Below are 16,059 nucleotides of genomic sequence, written 5' to 3'. Positions count from 1 at the left end.
CATGATTTCTCAGAAAGATCAATTCAAACCCGCCTTGTCACCCCTCTCCACCCAGGCCCCACTTCCTGCTTTGCTGGGGCTGGGGGGTCAGAAGTAACATAGCTAGAGACAGATGTCCATCATCTGTGCTTGTGATGACAAAAGGAGGTAACAGGAGCACAGCCAGACCCTCACTCCTTGGAGCCCTGTTGTGAGCCACTCATGGCATGCACCATTCTCTGTCCTCACAACAGCTCAGACGGGTAGGAATTATTGGATTCTTTCTCTAAATGGGAAACCAGGGGTTTTAGGTGCCTTATCCATGGACCCTGCCCTCACCTCCCTCACCCAGTGCCCCCCTGTGCCTTGCTGGCTCTATCTGTGAAATTTATCCATGGACCCTGCCCTCACCTTCCTCACCCAGTGCCTCCCTGTGCCTTGCTGACTCTATCTGTGAAATGTCTCAAGAGTCCATCCTGTTGTCTCCCATCCCATGTCTCCCACTTGGCCCACAGTCCAGACTCTTACCTGTCCAGACTCCTACTCCAGAGAGACCCGGCAAGATCTTTGGGAAAGGCACATTGAGCCATGTCCTTCTCCCCCTTGGAACTCAACAGTGGCTTCCTGTCACTCTGAGAACAGAATGCAGCCTCCTCCCTGTGCATGACAAGCACCTCCCTGAGGTCACAGCTGTGGCTCCCTGACTCTGCACTGGTCCAGTCCAGCCTCAAGGCCTTAAATTTGCCACTCCAGAACCCTGGTTTGGACCCTGGACTCTGAATACATTCTGGTCTTTTCCTCAGGGAGGTCGAGGCACTGTCCTAGCTTGTGACCTGCTCCCATACCTATTTTCTCAGGGTGGAAGCAGACGCTCCAACTCCCACACTATGAGGCTGGTACCATTACCTCCAAGACCCAAAGCCTGTAGGAAGTATAGCAGGCCTCACCCAATACCCTGCAGTTCCCTCACTTGCTCCAAGTGGGAGGTGGGTCTTCACGGGTCCCCAAGATGAGGGCCAGTGGCTTTCCTCTTTCACAGGCTACAGTGGGAGCGAGTCTTCCACCATGGGACCTCTGGCCAGATCTCAGGGCTCTGTGGTTGGGGGAAAATGGCTCTCTTTTATGGGGCTTTAAGACATGAACTGACATGACATGTCCTAGAGACTATCCAGAGAGCATGTGGATCACTTTTTGCTGCTTTAGATCACCTTCTTTAAAATCAATGCATTGACATACTTTCAGCACTTAAATTTTCGTATTCTATTATCGCATCATCTCAGAAGAAAAGTCTTTCATAATTAATGAATCTCAGGCTGGGTTAAATATGCAGTGGCTGCCCACACACCACTTACTCTATTGCTTCAAAATAATTGGCTTTCACTTATCAGGTCTACTAGAATGACTGTCTTAAACCAGTCACGTGGTGGAAGCATCACCATGTTTCTTGCTCAGAAAATACCCTTTCAAGGGCTTTTCTAGGGGAGCCGGAACAGTAGCCAATTCTAGTGGGACCTTTAAGAAACAACTTTGCCCAGGATGATATTTGAGCCCTCTAAAGGGCCAATAGGGGTCCCTCTATTCAACTTTCCCTCCGAGTCCCACCAACCTCCCCACTTTGGTTCCATACAGCTTGGATTATTGCCCTACTAGTTCAAAACTGAAAGTTTCAAATAAAAACCAAAAGACAAATGTTAAATCACATTGAATTGATAACTGAGACAATCCGTCAAGCATATTTTGCTTTCCTGATTTTTCAAAGAAACCCTAATGTTGCACCTTCCTTGTTGTCAGTTTAGTACGTTAACATTTTTTTAATTAAACTTCAGTATCATTGAACAGGTCATAGAGTGTGAGCAATATTGTCTTTGTTCCAAAACTCCAAATGTAATGAAGCTGCCATTCACAATTGTTTTCCGCTGGGCTGCTTATTTTAAAAAAATGATTTTGATGAATAAAAATAGGTGCATTTTCACAGCGTGGGGTCCAGCAAGAATGAAAACCTTACGGATCACAGCCCGGCCCCTGGGGGTGCGGGAGGAGGTGTTGTCAGATGTCAATTTTGGCTGATTGTTTTTGAGGCCATGAGACTGCCATTCCTGTGTCCCGTGGTGCATTTTAGAGACTGATGTCACTTTTTTGAGATAAATTATTAGAGAAATGTTTATAGATGAATATACATTTCACAGTGTGCCAGAGTTGAGGAGTCTAATGAAGTTTAGAAGGGACACTGGGATGAGGGTGCTGAGCTGCGGTGCCTGTGGCCTGTGACAGACACCTCCTGCACCAGGAGGCAAGGATCCTGATGGTCAGATGCTCAGTCCCCAACAAGAGGGGGTTCAAAGCCAGTGCAGCCCCTTCCTCCCACCGCTGGGGGCAGCAAAGGACCCACAGTGGAGATTGCAAACTATAGCAGGGGCTGTGCTTTGTGTTTGTTTTCAATATTTGAGCCATCATACAAAAATCTAGTGATTTCTCATTCTCTATACAAAAACCAGAAGATCTGGGCCACAAGGTCTGCATTTTCCCCAGTATCAGTCTGCTATGGCCCCATATTAGCTGCCTAGGGCCCCTCACTCCTGCTCCTGCTAGACTCTGTGGATATTTGAGTCATGACCTTGCCTCAAGGCTTATTCACGTATTATTTATTTATTGTTAATATAGGAAGGGTCTTGCTCTGTTGCCCAGGCTGGAGTGCAGTGGCACAATCATAACTCACTGCAGCCTTGAACTCCTGGGCTCAAGTGATGCTCCTGTTAAGGCATATTTAGATGGGAGGAAACATCTTTCTTCCTTTAGAGCATCTAATTATCGGCATGGCCCTGGACAAATTATCCTAGAGCCTGGAGCCTCAATTTGCTCATCTCTGTAAGGGGGGTGACAATGCAACCTCATAGGGTGGTTGTGAGTACTACATAGAAAAAGACTCCAGAAGGAGCACAGGGCCTCCATTGGGAGCCCCTCAGCCAACACTCCCTCCTTGCTGCCTGCACAACCTCAAGAGAACATGGAGTCCTTTGGGATGCTGAAAACTTTAAGGAAGACAACTGTGCATTCTCTGTGTAAGCAGTGTGCACACTGTCTTCCTCCTAAATGGCTAGTTGGAGGAGTGAAGACAGACTCACTCAGAAATGGGTGATTCCCTGGCTGCAGTCTCCTCTCTGATAACAAAGGACTGGGCCCAGATTAGAGACGAGGCAGGAATTATGTGCTGCAGAAAGGCGGTGGGGACATCTTGAGTTTGTTTGTAGCTAATCTCAAATAATTCAGGTCTTTTCCATTTGCAGCAAATCTGATTCCCTCAACACATCTGTGGTAAAATGTTATGAGTGCTTGCGGAGACCAAGTGTGGAGGGGATTTTTTTTTTCCACCACCAAATCCATAGTTACCCTCCAAGTTGTAATCTTATCATATTTAACTGGTTCCACATAAACAGATCTATGTATATTTTCAGTAGTTTCAGCTGAAACCTGTTAAGAACAGATGTGCCAATGGTTCCCTGGCACTGATCCATTTAAATATATTTTTTCCACGAACAGGTTTTTCTCTCTCCCTTTCCTTAGAGGGGAGAAAAAATATGAAAGTGGAACCACCATTAAAGTGGATATTACATGCTTCTGTGTTCTCTGCAACCAGTGTTTGCCATTGGTTTTCCAACAGCAATTTGGCACATGAGGCTGTGAACACAGAGTGTGCATTTGATGGACAGTATTTGCTCTGAGGCTGTGTGGCTGGGAGAATGGGCTGAGAGCTCTGTAGTTGCTACCTAAGCTAGGGTCAGCCAGGGTTAGTTTTTCCCTGCTGCTGCTGCTAAGCAGCCCCTGGGCAAAGGCTTCAGCAGGCCGTCTGCCTCTTTGAGCCTTTAGTTTTTCAGTTGCAAACAAAAAAAAAAGGTCCAGGGAGTGGGAAGATAAAGAACTCCTATAACTCAGCAACAACAACCTGATTAGAAAATGGGCAAAGGACTTAGATAGATATTTCTACAAAGATGATATATATTAATAAATGGCCAAAAAGCATGTGAAAAGATGACTGGCATCACTAATGATTAGAGAAAAGCAAATAAAAACTAAAATGAGACATCACCCCCACACCGTTAGAATGGCTAATAGCAATAAAACGGAAAATATCAAGTGTTGGCAAGGTTGTGGGGAAATTGGAACCCTTCTGCACTTTTGGTGAGAATATGAAATGCTACAGCCACTGTGGAAAACAGGATGGCAGTTCTTCAAAAAATTACAAATAGAACAACCATATGACCCAGAAGTTCCACTTCTAGGTGTGTATTAAAAAAAATTGAAAGCAAGATCTCAAATAAATATTTGCACATCCTTATTCCAATATAGCAGCATTGTTTGCCATATCCAAAAGGTAGAAACAACCCGAGTGTTTACAGATGGATGAATAAACAAAATGTGGTCTATACATACAGTGGAATATTATTCAGCCTTAAAAGGAAAAGAAACAGTGCTATATGCTACAGTATGGAAGAACCTGGAAGGCTTTATGCTAAGCGACTGAAGCCAGACAAAAAAGGACAAATACACTATAGTTCCACTTATATGAGGTACCTAGAGTAGTCCACTGCATAGAGATGGAAAGCAGAATGGTGTGCTAGGCACGGTGGCTCACGCCTATAATCCTAGCCCTTTGGGAGGCCGAGGCAGGCAGATCACTTGAGGTCAAGAGTTCGAGACCAGCCTGGCCAACATAGTGAAACCCCTCTCTACTAAAAATACAAAAATTAGCCAGGTGTGGTGGTGTGCACCTGTAATCCCAGCTACTCGGGGGGCTGAGGTATAAGAATCGGTTGAACCCAGGAGGCAGAAGTGGTGGTGAGCTGAGATCGCACCACTGCACTCCAGCCTGGGTGATAGAGACTCTGTCTCAAAAAAGAATGGTGGCTTCCAGGACTGGGGAATGGAGAGTTGTTTAATGCCTAAGAATTTCAGTTTTGGGGGATGAAATGAGTTTTGGAGATTGGTCACATAACAATGTGAATGTACATAACACTACTGAACTGTACACTTAAAATGGTTAAGATTGTTGAAAAGAAGAAAATAGGGGAGAGGGTCTAATTTGTGACACCAACCTCATCGATGGGGGAGGGATTCAAAAGAGAGGTGCACATTCAGCCAGACACTGAGCCTGTTGCCCGTGGGGATTATGCCTAAGAGGAATGAGATAGGAGGGGTTAGGTTTTCTCAGCTTTGAATTTCTTTCTCAAGAACACTCCTCTGTCCACCTTCCCATTGCCCACACGACAGAGTTCACCAGGCCTCCTAGCTCTCTACCAGCCTATAGCCATCTGCAGGAATGTCCTCACTGGGCCCTTTGGGCCATGCCCTGTGTCTGTGACTCTGGGGCCTAGCACTCTGACCCACTGGCCTGTGTTCCTCTCTGGTTGGAAGACAGTGCAAAAGGGACCTATTCCACCTTCAGTGGCCTCCGAGTAACCCACCTGCTCCAGTCTGCAGATTTCCATCTCACTGACTTTGCCCTGGCACTGGGAGGGGGGAAGTGAGGGCTGCAGGTAGGAGTTTGATGGCAGATGAGCCTCAGGGGTTCAATGTCAGCTGGGAGAAGCAAGGCCACTTCCAGACTCAGTTCTGCCACTGTCTGGCAGTGAGGCTCTGGGCAAACCATTTTGCTTTGTCTCTGGTAAAAGAAGGCTGTGGGCAGGATTGGGCTTTGTAATTGCCAAAGATTCCAGATCTTTGAGGGGCTCTGTCTTCCTAAATTCTGTGCAGCCTGCTAGCCTCTGCAGGAGAGTATCAGGGAAACTTAACATGCCTGTGTTTCGTAGTGAACAGGATATCTAGGGTTGAGAATTACTGCGAACACTGTTATGTTGTCACGTGAGCTGGGGCTCCATGGTGATGCACCCTGGGCTCCCAGAACAATGTGAAGCACTGAGATGCCCTGCACCTGGGCCTGGGTCAGAATCCTGGTAGAGGGGTCTTTGGCAAGGACAGGAGAGGACCTCCTTGGGATTGGACTCAGCTGAGCAGCAGGATGCCTGTTTGGCTTGGGAGGTGAGATTAGCTTCCTGGGGGCAAAAAGGAGCCATATTTGTCTTAATGAGGAGAAAAGAGCAAAATCAAAGCATTCGTTAACACTTCAAAGAGGATAAAAGAACATGTTCGGTTCACAATTACTGCCTCCCTAACCAGGCAAGTGTATGATGGAGAATCCTGTTATCCTAATTCAAGAGGACGATGCCAAAGGCTTCTCTTGCTGGCTGAGAATTGTTGGGGAGCTCCCTGCCCACGGAGGGCCTGTTTGCCAGATCCCCAGCCCCCTGCAGACCTCTGATCTGTGAGGAGCTGGTTCTAGTGATTCACACTTGTTTGTGAAAACCTTGATCTTCATCAAGCTTTTAAAAAAATCTCATCCGTATTTTTTCCCAATTATTTTCCTGCCTGCTCTTTTTTTTTTCAAAAGTAAACACTCAAAAGCCTTCATTTCTATAACTAATTCTGGAGTTTACAGAAGCAAAAATCAATAGGCTCAAAACTCCATTCCTTTATTCACTTGGCTCAGACTGGCTTGGGGCAGCACCTCTGAGCCCAAGCCAGAAATTGCCAAAAGGGGGTTCCTGTCGGAATCTTGGAGCTCATCCCCCAAACTTGAGATTACTGAGCAAGTGAGCAAGATGTCTCTGTCTGGTCCAGGAAGATGTCAGCCCCACACTGCCCCTCCCAGATAAAGAGATCAACACGGGACAGGTCAGTCTCTCCCATTCTGTCTCCACCTTTGCCAGTCTGCTTCTAGATCCCCTTCATGTACTCATGTTGCTGCCCTCCATTCACTAGATTTTCAGGATCTATTTATATCCATCCACCACATCCACCACTCTGTTTTCCAAATATTATCACAATCAGCGCAGTAGTGCTTCCCCCCGAAAGACTGGCAGCTCTCTGACCTTTCTTTTCAGCTACAAATGAAAGGGGACTTAAAAGCTGTGTGTGCATGTGTGTGCACACGCCTGACTAATGGACACACTCCTCATGAAAAACAGGATAAATTACAGAGAATGGCAAAGTAATGATTACAGAAAGGTATATGAGGCAGAACCCATTAGTGAGCTGCATTTTGTTCAAAACCGAGATACTGGCAGGCAGAATAACATGCCTTTGTACCAGAACGCATTCAGCTGTAGCAATGACTAATAAAGTAGCGAGGATCTGTGCACATTTTCCCCCTTTTGTGCCTATTTTCATAAGTTAATAACTCAAGCATGAAAATTGTTTTAAGGCTGAAGACTGGTGGTAAGATCTGGTCAAACTGTGTGGGAAACAACTTTTGTTGTTGTTGTTACTTAATTTAGTTTGGCTGTTTTTAAGTTAGAGGAGTGGAAATGTCAATGTCAATGTGAGTCTTGCAATGTGTTTTTGTTAAGCCCAAGAGCATTTGGGATTGCATCATACAAAGCACATTTTTAATGACTAGAGATCATAGTTTCTCTTCCTACAGGTGTATGTTCCTATTTGGTACAGGTTGGGATTGTTGGGGAGGGAGGAGGAGATGGAAGCAAAATCTTATAAATGACATCATCCTGGGCTTACCCTTCTTCAGCTAGAAAATTCCTATCCCACCAGCAAATCAGCCCGGTGAGCAAACAGCTGCCTTAGACAAATGGGGTTGAGTGTAGGGGTGAAACCTGCTGCAGGATTTTAGTAAATTCCCAGAGCAATGGAAGGAACAGAAATATCATGAATAATTGTCATACCTCTCATTCCTACAGGACTCAGGTTTTGTGAGCATTTTCCTGTCCATAGAACCAGAGAAAGTCTAAGTTAAGGGTACCAGATTTTGCATAACTCCTCTTTCTTCTTGCCTCTTCTTTTCTTTTTATTGGATGAGAAGACTTTGAAAGACACAGAAAAACACAGAGAATAACATAAATACCTGTGTAGCCACATTCTGGGAGTAACAACTGTAATATTTTATAATGCTTACTGCAATTTATTTTTTAAAAATAAAGTAACTGAAGCATTACTGATAAAGATGTATCATCTCCTTTATCTCACAGACAAGCAAAGTGGATCAGCAAAGGCTGCAGTCACCAGCATCTTTTCCAACCTTAATGAACTGTATCCTCAAAAGAACACTATCAGACTGGTAAGACAAGCATTATTGTCCCACTTCACAGATGAAGAGCTTGGGGGCCCTGTGGATGTGTAGGAGAGTCGGCCTTCCTTTTTATAGGCCTTTTGCTGAGCTCAGAGGACAGAGCAGAAGACAAAGCCGAATGCAGCCCTAAGCAGACACTATCCCAGCCCAAGGAGCTATGCAGACAGCTCCTGCCTAGAGGAGAAACAATTCTCTCCTTCAGCCAGGCATGTGGCACAGAGGTGAACAGGAAATGCTTAGGGAGACAGTTCACAGATATATATGTACTTCACAGGGCACAATTTAATCCATAAATCAATCATGGATCACCGCTAAAGAAAACAAAATATGCTGCCACTAATTTGCCACCACCCTGTGAGCATGATTGGATGATGTTTATTTTGATTAGGAGATTGCTCCATTTATAAATCTTCAATACATCCTGTCCCCCTAAAACGGCATCTGGGTCTTTTGAGGGTTAAAAAAAAAAAAAAGTGAAATTGGATGAGGGATGAGAGCTGGACTTCTGTGTGTCCCGGGGTCCCTGGATCCACAGCCTGGTGCCTAGCATCAGTTAAGCCCACGCTGGGGTCGCATCACATCCCGCAAAGCCACGTGCTCTGTGAGGCCAACAGGAGCCCCGCCGGGTGGACCAGCTGGAATCTCAGAGAGCGCCGACTCTGAAACTACCCGGCTCTGCAGAAGCACGCTGGGCCCAGGGGCTTCTAGACTGACAGCTCCATTTATCAACTACCTATTGGTTTTAAAAATTGGAGTGTCTTTTCCGCGTTGACTGATTTTGGCTCTAAGAGATGTCGCTGGTCATTTCAGAGTGACTGAACCTCCCCTCTAACAGATCCCGGGAATTGTTTTCAGGAAAGGTAAAAGGCAGCCTTTTCTGTCACAACACAACGCTGAGCCGGCAGCCTGGCTCTGTCAGGATCTGGGGCTCCCGCGCCCGAGAAGCCCAGCCTCGCCGGCGGCCAAGTTCACCGCGAGGCCCCGCGCTGCCTGCGCTGCGCTCCCGGACCCGCACCGACCGCAGCGCGCGCCGCCGGTGCTTCTCCCACCCCAGCCTGGAAGCTGCCTCCCTCCGCCTATGCCTGCAGGATAAGAAGCCCGAGGAGGCGGAGCATGGAACTCGACAGTTAAAACATTTAAGAGAGAAAACCTAGTGTCTTGCTGGCCTGAAATCGAGTACGCAGCCCGGGGTGATCAGGGTCTCCCGGCCCGGATGTGTGAGACTTGCTTCCCCTGGGCAATAGGCGATACGATGCTTTAGGAGGAAGGTGTCTCTCCCTCCTAAGCCCCGGAGGGGAGAACTTCCAAAGACAGAAAACCACAGGCTTCCTGGCACAGAGCTTTCCCTTTATCAGCTAAAGCAGAATCTTTTCTGGCCTTAACCTGGCCCCTTCCTCTAACTGCAGGCAGAGAGGCAGACAGAAAAGCACTTGCTGAAACACAAAGTTTTGTTCTGTCCTCAACGAACTGTCTAGAGCTGATTGCTGATAGTCGTGGTGCATTATGCCTTCCTGGTTTTCATTTAATTGGGCACCACGCTGCCTTTCAAGACGCCTTAAAGGAACCAACAACCAAATCCAAGAGAGCTGGACAGACCATTGAACACACAGTAGGCTGTGTCTCGTGGCTTTCGTTGTCTGGTGCCTCAAAGAAAACACCAGAAAGATTGTTTCTAAGCTAGAGCCACCCCAGATTGCTTAAAGTGCAAAGCTCACTGCTGTTGGGGGTACCCTTGTGAGACACTGGAAAGCTGGTTTTACCGTGGCCCTATGAAGAGGAAGACTGAAATTTAGACAGTAATACCTTTACTAGGATTGGAAAAGATTTGGTTAATGACAGCCCTGTCATTTCTAAAACCCATTATCACTGTATGAGAGATTCCTTTGCGCTGCATCCTCGACAGTGCTTCCTAAGGTCAGTCTTTTCTATTGTATTCATTTTAATGGGTGCATAGCCGTATCTCGTTGTGATTTTAATGTGCATCTCCCTAGTGACTAATAATGATGGGACGCTTTTCATATACTTGTTTGTCATTCATAACTCTTCCTTGGTGAAATGTCTGTTTAGATATTTTGTCCATTTTTTTTATTTGGATTGTTTGATTTCTTATTATTGAGTTTTGGGAGTTCTTTATGTATTGTGGATACAAGTTCCTTATTAGGTATATGATTTGCAAATATTTTCTTCAAGCCTGTAGCTTGTTCTTTCATTTTCTTAACAATGTCTTTTGTTTTTAATTTCAAAGAAATCCAATTTGTCAATATTTTCTTTTACAGATTATGCTTTTGATGTAAGAAATCTTTGCCTAACCTAAGTCACAACAATATTCTCCTAGAAGCTGTAGAAATTTCAATCTGTAATGATCAATTTTGAACTCGTTTTTATATTTATTTATTTATTTATTTATTCTTTGAGATGGAGTCTCACTCTGTCGCCCAGGCTGGAGTGCAATGGCACTATCTTGGCTCACTGCAACTTCCACTTCCCAGGTTCAAGCGATTCTCCTGTCTCAGCTTCCTGAGTAGCTGGGATTACAGGTGTGTGCCATCACGCCTGGCTAATTTTTTGTATTTTAGTAGAGACGGAGTTCCACCATGTTGCCCAGGCTGGTCTCGAATTCCTGAGCTCAGGCCATCCACCCGCCTCGGCCTCCCAAGGTGCTAGGATTGCAGGCGTGAGCCACCATGCCCGACCCAGAACTTATTTTTAAATATGGTGTGAGGCATGGAGCAAAGTTTACTTTTTTACATGTGTTTACCCAATTGTTCCCTCAACATTTGTTGAAAAGACATTTCTCCACTGCATTGTTTTATGTCTTTGTCGAAAATCAGTGTATGTTTGGACTCTTGATTGTTAGTTCCATTGATGTTTGTCTTGATTTATTTTTTGGCCTTGAAACAACAATTTATTATCATCTCTCATGATATTGGAGGTTGGCCAGGTTCAGCTGGGCAATTCTTACTTGGGTTCTCTCATGCATTTGCAGTTGGATGATGGCTGGAGCAGCAATCTGGAGGCTCAAGGAGGCTGAAGGCCCCATATGACTCCTTCATTTCCATATCTAGCACCTCAGTGGAGTAGGCTGGAACAGCTGGGGAATGATTGAGCTTCTAATTCTCTCCCTACCTCCTATCTATGTGTCTAGTTTTCACTTCTTCACAGTACGGCATTCTCAGGAAAGTCAGACTTCTTAGTAGTGGCTTACCCTAGAATGGCTTTTCCAAAAGCACATGTTTCAAGAGACCCAGGCAGAAGCTGCAAAGTTTCCTGTGACCTAGCTTACACATCCTATAGTTTCTTTTGCCATATTCTGTAAGGAAAGCAAGTTGCTATGGCCAGACCAGGTTGAAGGAGAAGGGTATGAGACTCTACCTCTCGATTTCAGGAGCATTATTACGGAGAGGGAAGGATTGTTGGTTGCTTCTGTATAAGCAATGCCAATAATAGAAGGCTCCACTGTCCTGATTAATGTAGCTTTATAACAAGTCTCAAAATCAAGCAATGTTAGTCCTTCAACTTTGTTCTTCCTTTACAAAGTTGTTTTGACTGTGCTAGGTCCCTTCCATTTACATTTGAATTTTAGAATCAGTTTGTCAATTTCTACCAAAAAGAAAGCCCTTATGAAATTTTGATCAAGATTGAATTGAATTTATGGATCAATTTAATGAGAACTTACAATTCAAATTATTTTAAGATCAATTTGGTGAAAATTTACACCTTAAAAATATTGAGTCTTTTGACCTATGAACCTACTTAGGTTTTCTTTAATTTATTTTAGCAATTACATTATAATTCTCAATGTATAGATCTTTCTATCTTTTATCACATTTGCCCTATTTTATACGTTTTGACCCACTATAAATGGTATTTTTAAAATTTCAATTTCCGGTTGTTCATTGCAAGTATATAGAAACATAATTGATTTCTGTACATTAGCCTTATATTCTATATTTTTGCTAAAGTCACATTTTTAGTTCTAGTAGTCTTTTTTTCATAGGATTTTCTGCATACACACTCATGTCATCTACAAATAAAGATGGCTTTTCTTCTTTATTTCCAATCTCAATCTCTTTTGTTTCCATTTCTTGCTGTTGCACTGGATAGCACCTTCAGTACAATGTTGAATTTGTGAGAGTTTCTGATCTTAAGAGGAAAACACTCAGTCTTTCACCGTTAAGAATGATGTTACCTATAGGCTTTTCATAGATGTTCCCTTAGCAGGTTGAAGAAGTTTCCATCTATTCTTAGTTTGCTAGACTTTTTATCAGGAACGTTTGTTGAGTTTTATCAAATTTTTTTCTGCATCTATTGAGACATGCAATCTTCTAGTGCCGTCATTTTACAAGCTCAAGTGAAGTGTAGGGCACTTACCTTTCTTTACGTCCTACTATCCTCTCTGTTTATAATATAATTGCTTAAATATTTTCTCTGCATATATTTAGGATCACATTAGATAGTTATAATTTTTACTTCAACTGTCAACATAATTTAGAAAAGTCCAGTGAAGAAGGAAAGTCTATTATACATACCAATATTTTTGCTTACTATTATGTTAATATGTTAATATGTTCTTTCTTCCTTACTGATGCTCCAATATTCCTTCCTTTACTGTTTGCTTTTTGTTTAGAAAACTTTTTTTTAGCTGTTCATTTATAGTATGTCTGCTGGTGACAGACACTTTTAGTTTTCCCTCTCCTGAGAATGCCTTTATTTCCATTTTATTCCTGAAGGACCTGTGATTGGGGTGGGGCTGTGGTATTTTAAGTGGTGTTTGGCTAGAGTGGAGCGGTTATTGCCCAAAGCTTTTCTGTCTTGCTGGGCTGCCACTGTCCAGCTCCTTAGGCTGGAGAGAGCAGGCTTTTGTTGGGGCCTTCTTGGTCTCATTTGGAATTTCTGAGTTCAGTTTCTTCAACTATATATCTGGGATATACAAGACAGAAAGAAACCAGGGCACTCTCCACCATGTTGTTCCTCCAGTCTCAAGATCTCTAGACAGTCTGTCTTCTCTCCATCTTTCAGAGTCTTCTTGTGCATGTTTTTTATATAACATCTACACTTTTTAGTGGCGCTTAGCAGAAGCAATGGGACAAGTATGTCTACTGCAGCTTTCTGGAAGAGAAGCTCCTCATTTCTTTTTTTGGATACATTTCAAAAGAAGTTGCAAATATATGACCCTACACATTTCAGTATGCATATCATTAACTACAGCTCAACATTAGTTTATATTTTTCTTTTTCTTGTGTGAGATGAAAACTATACATACATTGCCGTCAGGCTTTGCCCAGGCATCAGAACTCACTAGACAGCAGAATATACATCTTTGAGAGGAACCACAGAAATGTAATGTGCATGCTAAGGCTTTTACCTGAACATCAAAATGGAAACATCAGAGTATTCATATTAGAGAGCAACCTTACAATTGTAATGGATGTGGTAAGGCTTTTTAAAAAATCAAATGTTCAAAGACATAGAATCAACCAAAATGGCCATCAGTGATAGACTGGATAAAGAAAATGTGGTACATATACACCATGGAATACTATGCAGCCGTAGAAAGAAACGAGATCATGTCCGTTGCAGGGACATGGATGGAGCTGGAAGCCATTATCCTCAGAAAACTAACCCAGGAACAGAAAAGCAAACACCACATGTTCTCACTCATAAGTGGGAGCTGAAGACTGAGAACACATGGAACCAGGGAGAGGAACAACACACACTGAGGCCTGCCACTGCAGGTGGGGGTTCAGGGGAGGGAGAGCATCAGGAAAATAGCTAATGCATGTCAGGCTTAATAAGTAGGTGATTGGCTGATAGGTGCAGCAAACTGCCATGGCACACGTTTACCTATGTAACAAACCTACAAATACTACACATGTACCCCAGAACTAAAAGTAAAATAAAAGAAAACAAATTTCAAAAAATAAAAAGAAAATTCTAGGTACATTGAAATATACAATTCTTACGTGCACCATTTGATGAGTACCACCCACCCCTCTGTCAAGATACAGAACTCATCCATCACCCCACAAGTTCCTTCTTCCTCCTTCACAGTCTAATCCCTTCCCCAGCCACCTCGCGGGGACAAACATTGTTTTGTTTTGTTTTTTTACACCTCCTAGATTAGTTTCATCTTTTCTAGAATGCAGTATGAATAGAAGGGATATCATGCACTCTTTTCTGTCTGGCTTCTTTGTTTCAGCCTAATGTTTTTCATATTTAGCAAGTTTTATAAGTCATTCGTTTCTGTTGCTGAGTAGTATTCCGTTGTGTGCATATACCACAGCTTGTTGATCCATTCTTCTATTGATGGATATCTGAGCTGTTTCCAGGTTTTGGCTAGTATGAATAAAGCCAAAGAGAGCCATTTTAATCTGGGGCATTTAAAAAATGGTGTGAATAAACTTTCATCTGAACACAGGGTTCCGTGGTAATAATTTTTGAAAATATCACCTCCAGCTCTGACGTGCCGAGTTTGTAATTTTCGTAAATGATATAAGAAGTCATTTCTTCATCCATTCATTTGTTCACTCAACCCTTATTTAGTGGGCCTATTCCCTGTGCCAGGAATCATTCAAGGCTCAGTGGGGAAGAGAACAAATGTAAGTCGGCCTGGTGCAGTTGACATGCTAGTGAGGGAAAAGACAAAAACATCAGTTAGTGAATACCTGTTATGACGGAAAAGAAGCCAGGTAAGTGGGTAGGGCATTACAGTTGGTCCAGAGGTAGGCAGGGTGTCATTTTAGCTCTGGAAGTAGGGAGAGGAACTTAGGGAGATGGTCAGGGGAGGGACTTATATGATTTGGATCTGTGTCCCCACTCAAATCTCACACCAAATTATAATCCCCAATGCTGGAGGTGGGGCCTGGTGGGAGGTGATTGGATCATGGGGGCAGTTTCTTATGCTTTAACAACATCCCCCTTGGTGTTGTCACAGTGACAGTAAGTTATCACAAGATCTGGTTGTTTAAAAGCGTGTAGCATGTCCCTCTGTCTCTCTTCCTCCTGCTCTGGTCATGTGAAGATGCCTGCTCTGGCTTTGCATTCTGCCATGAGTAAAAGTTTCCTGAGGACTCCCCAGCCATGCTTCCTGTACAGCCTGTAAAACTGTGAGCCAATTAAACCTATGTTCTTTATAAATTACCCAGTCTCAGGCATTTCCTTATAGCAATGTGAGAATAAACTAATACAGAAAATAGGTACCAAGAGTGGGGTATTACCATAATGATACTGAAAATGTGGAAGCAGCTTTAGAACTGGGTAATGGGCAGAGGTTGGAGGAGTTTGGAGGACTCAGAAGAAGAAGGGAAGATGAAGGAAAATTTGGAACTTTCTAGAGACTTGTTAAATTGTTATGACCAAAATGCTGGTAGTGATATGAAGAGTAAAGTCTAGGCTGATGAAGTCTCAGTTGGAAATGAGGGACTTATTGGAAACTGGAGCAAGGTCACTTTTGTTACGCATTAGCAAGAGGTTGGCTGCATTGTGCCCCTGCTTTAGGGATCTGTGGAACTTTGAACTTGAGAGTCATGATTTAGGGTATCTGGCAGAAGAAATTTCTAAGCAGCAAAGCATTCAAGATGTAGCCTGGCTGTTTCTAATAACCTATGCTTATTTGCATGAACAAAGAAATGATCTGAAATTGGAACTTACATTTAAAAGGGAAGCAGAGCATAGAAGTTTGGAAACTTGCAGCCTGGCCATGTGGTAGAAAAGAAAAACCCATTTTCAGGGGGAGGAATTCATGCAGGTTGCAGAAATTTACATAACTAAAAAGAAGGCAAGTACTAATAGCCAAGACAATGGGAAAAAGGCCCTGAAGTCATTTCAGAGAGCTTCATGGCAGCCCGTCCCATCATAGGCCCAGAGGCCCAGGAGGGAAGAATAGTTTCAGGGGCCAGAACCAGGGTCTCTACTCCCCTGCACAGCTTTGGGACACTGTTTCCTGC

The 16,059-nt window shown here is 43.7% G+C and overlaps 1 long non-coding RNA gene across 7 annotated transcripts in view; it reads left to right on the top strand.

Annotated features, from left to right (window-relative positions):
- MIR4435-2HG (MIR4435-2 host gene) overlaps positions 1-16,059 on the top strand; it is a 299,296-nt gene that overhangs the window by 119,574 nt on the left and 163,663 nt on the right. For 3 of the 7 annotated variants that reach the window (NR_136164.1, NR_136163.1, NR_136161.1), the window contains exon 2: positions 8,013-8,101. The exons of 1 other annotated variant lie outside the window; for it this stretch is intronic. This is a non-coding gene — a long non-coding RNA (MIR4435-2 host gene). Of the gene's footprint in view, positions 1-8,012; positions 10,028-16,059 lie in introns of all 7 variants that reach the window. 3 more of the 7 variants (NR_136162.1, NR_136166.1, NR_015395.2) reach the window with 1 other exon arrangement.

This window comes from Homo sapiens, chromosome 2 (genome assembly GCF_000001405.40).
Source record: "Homo sapiens chromosome 2, GRCh38.p14 Primary Assembly".
Taxonomy (NCBI): Eukaryota; Metazoa; Chordata; class Mammalia; order Primates; family Hominidae; genus Homo; species Homo sapiens.
Note: the sequence above shows the minus strand (reverse complement) of the source record. Positions and strands in the feature narration are given on the sequence as shown.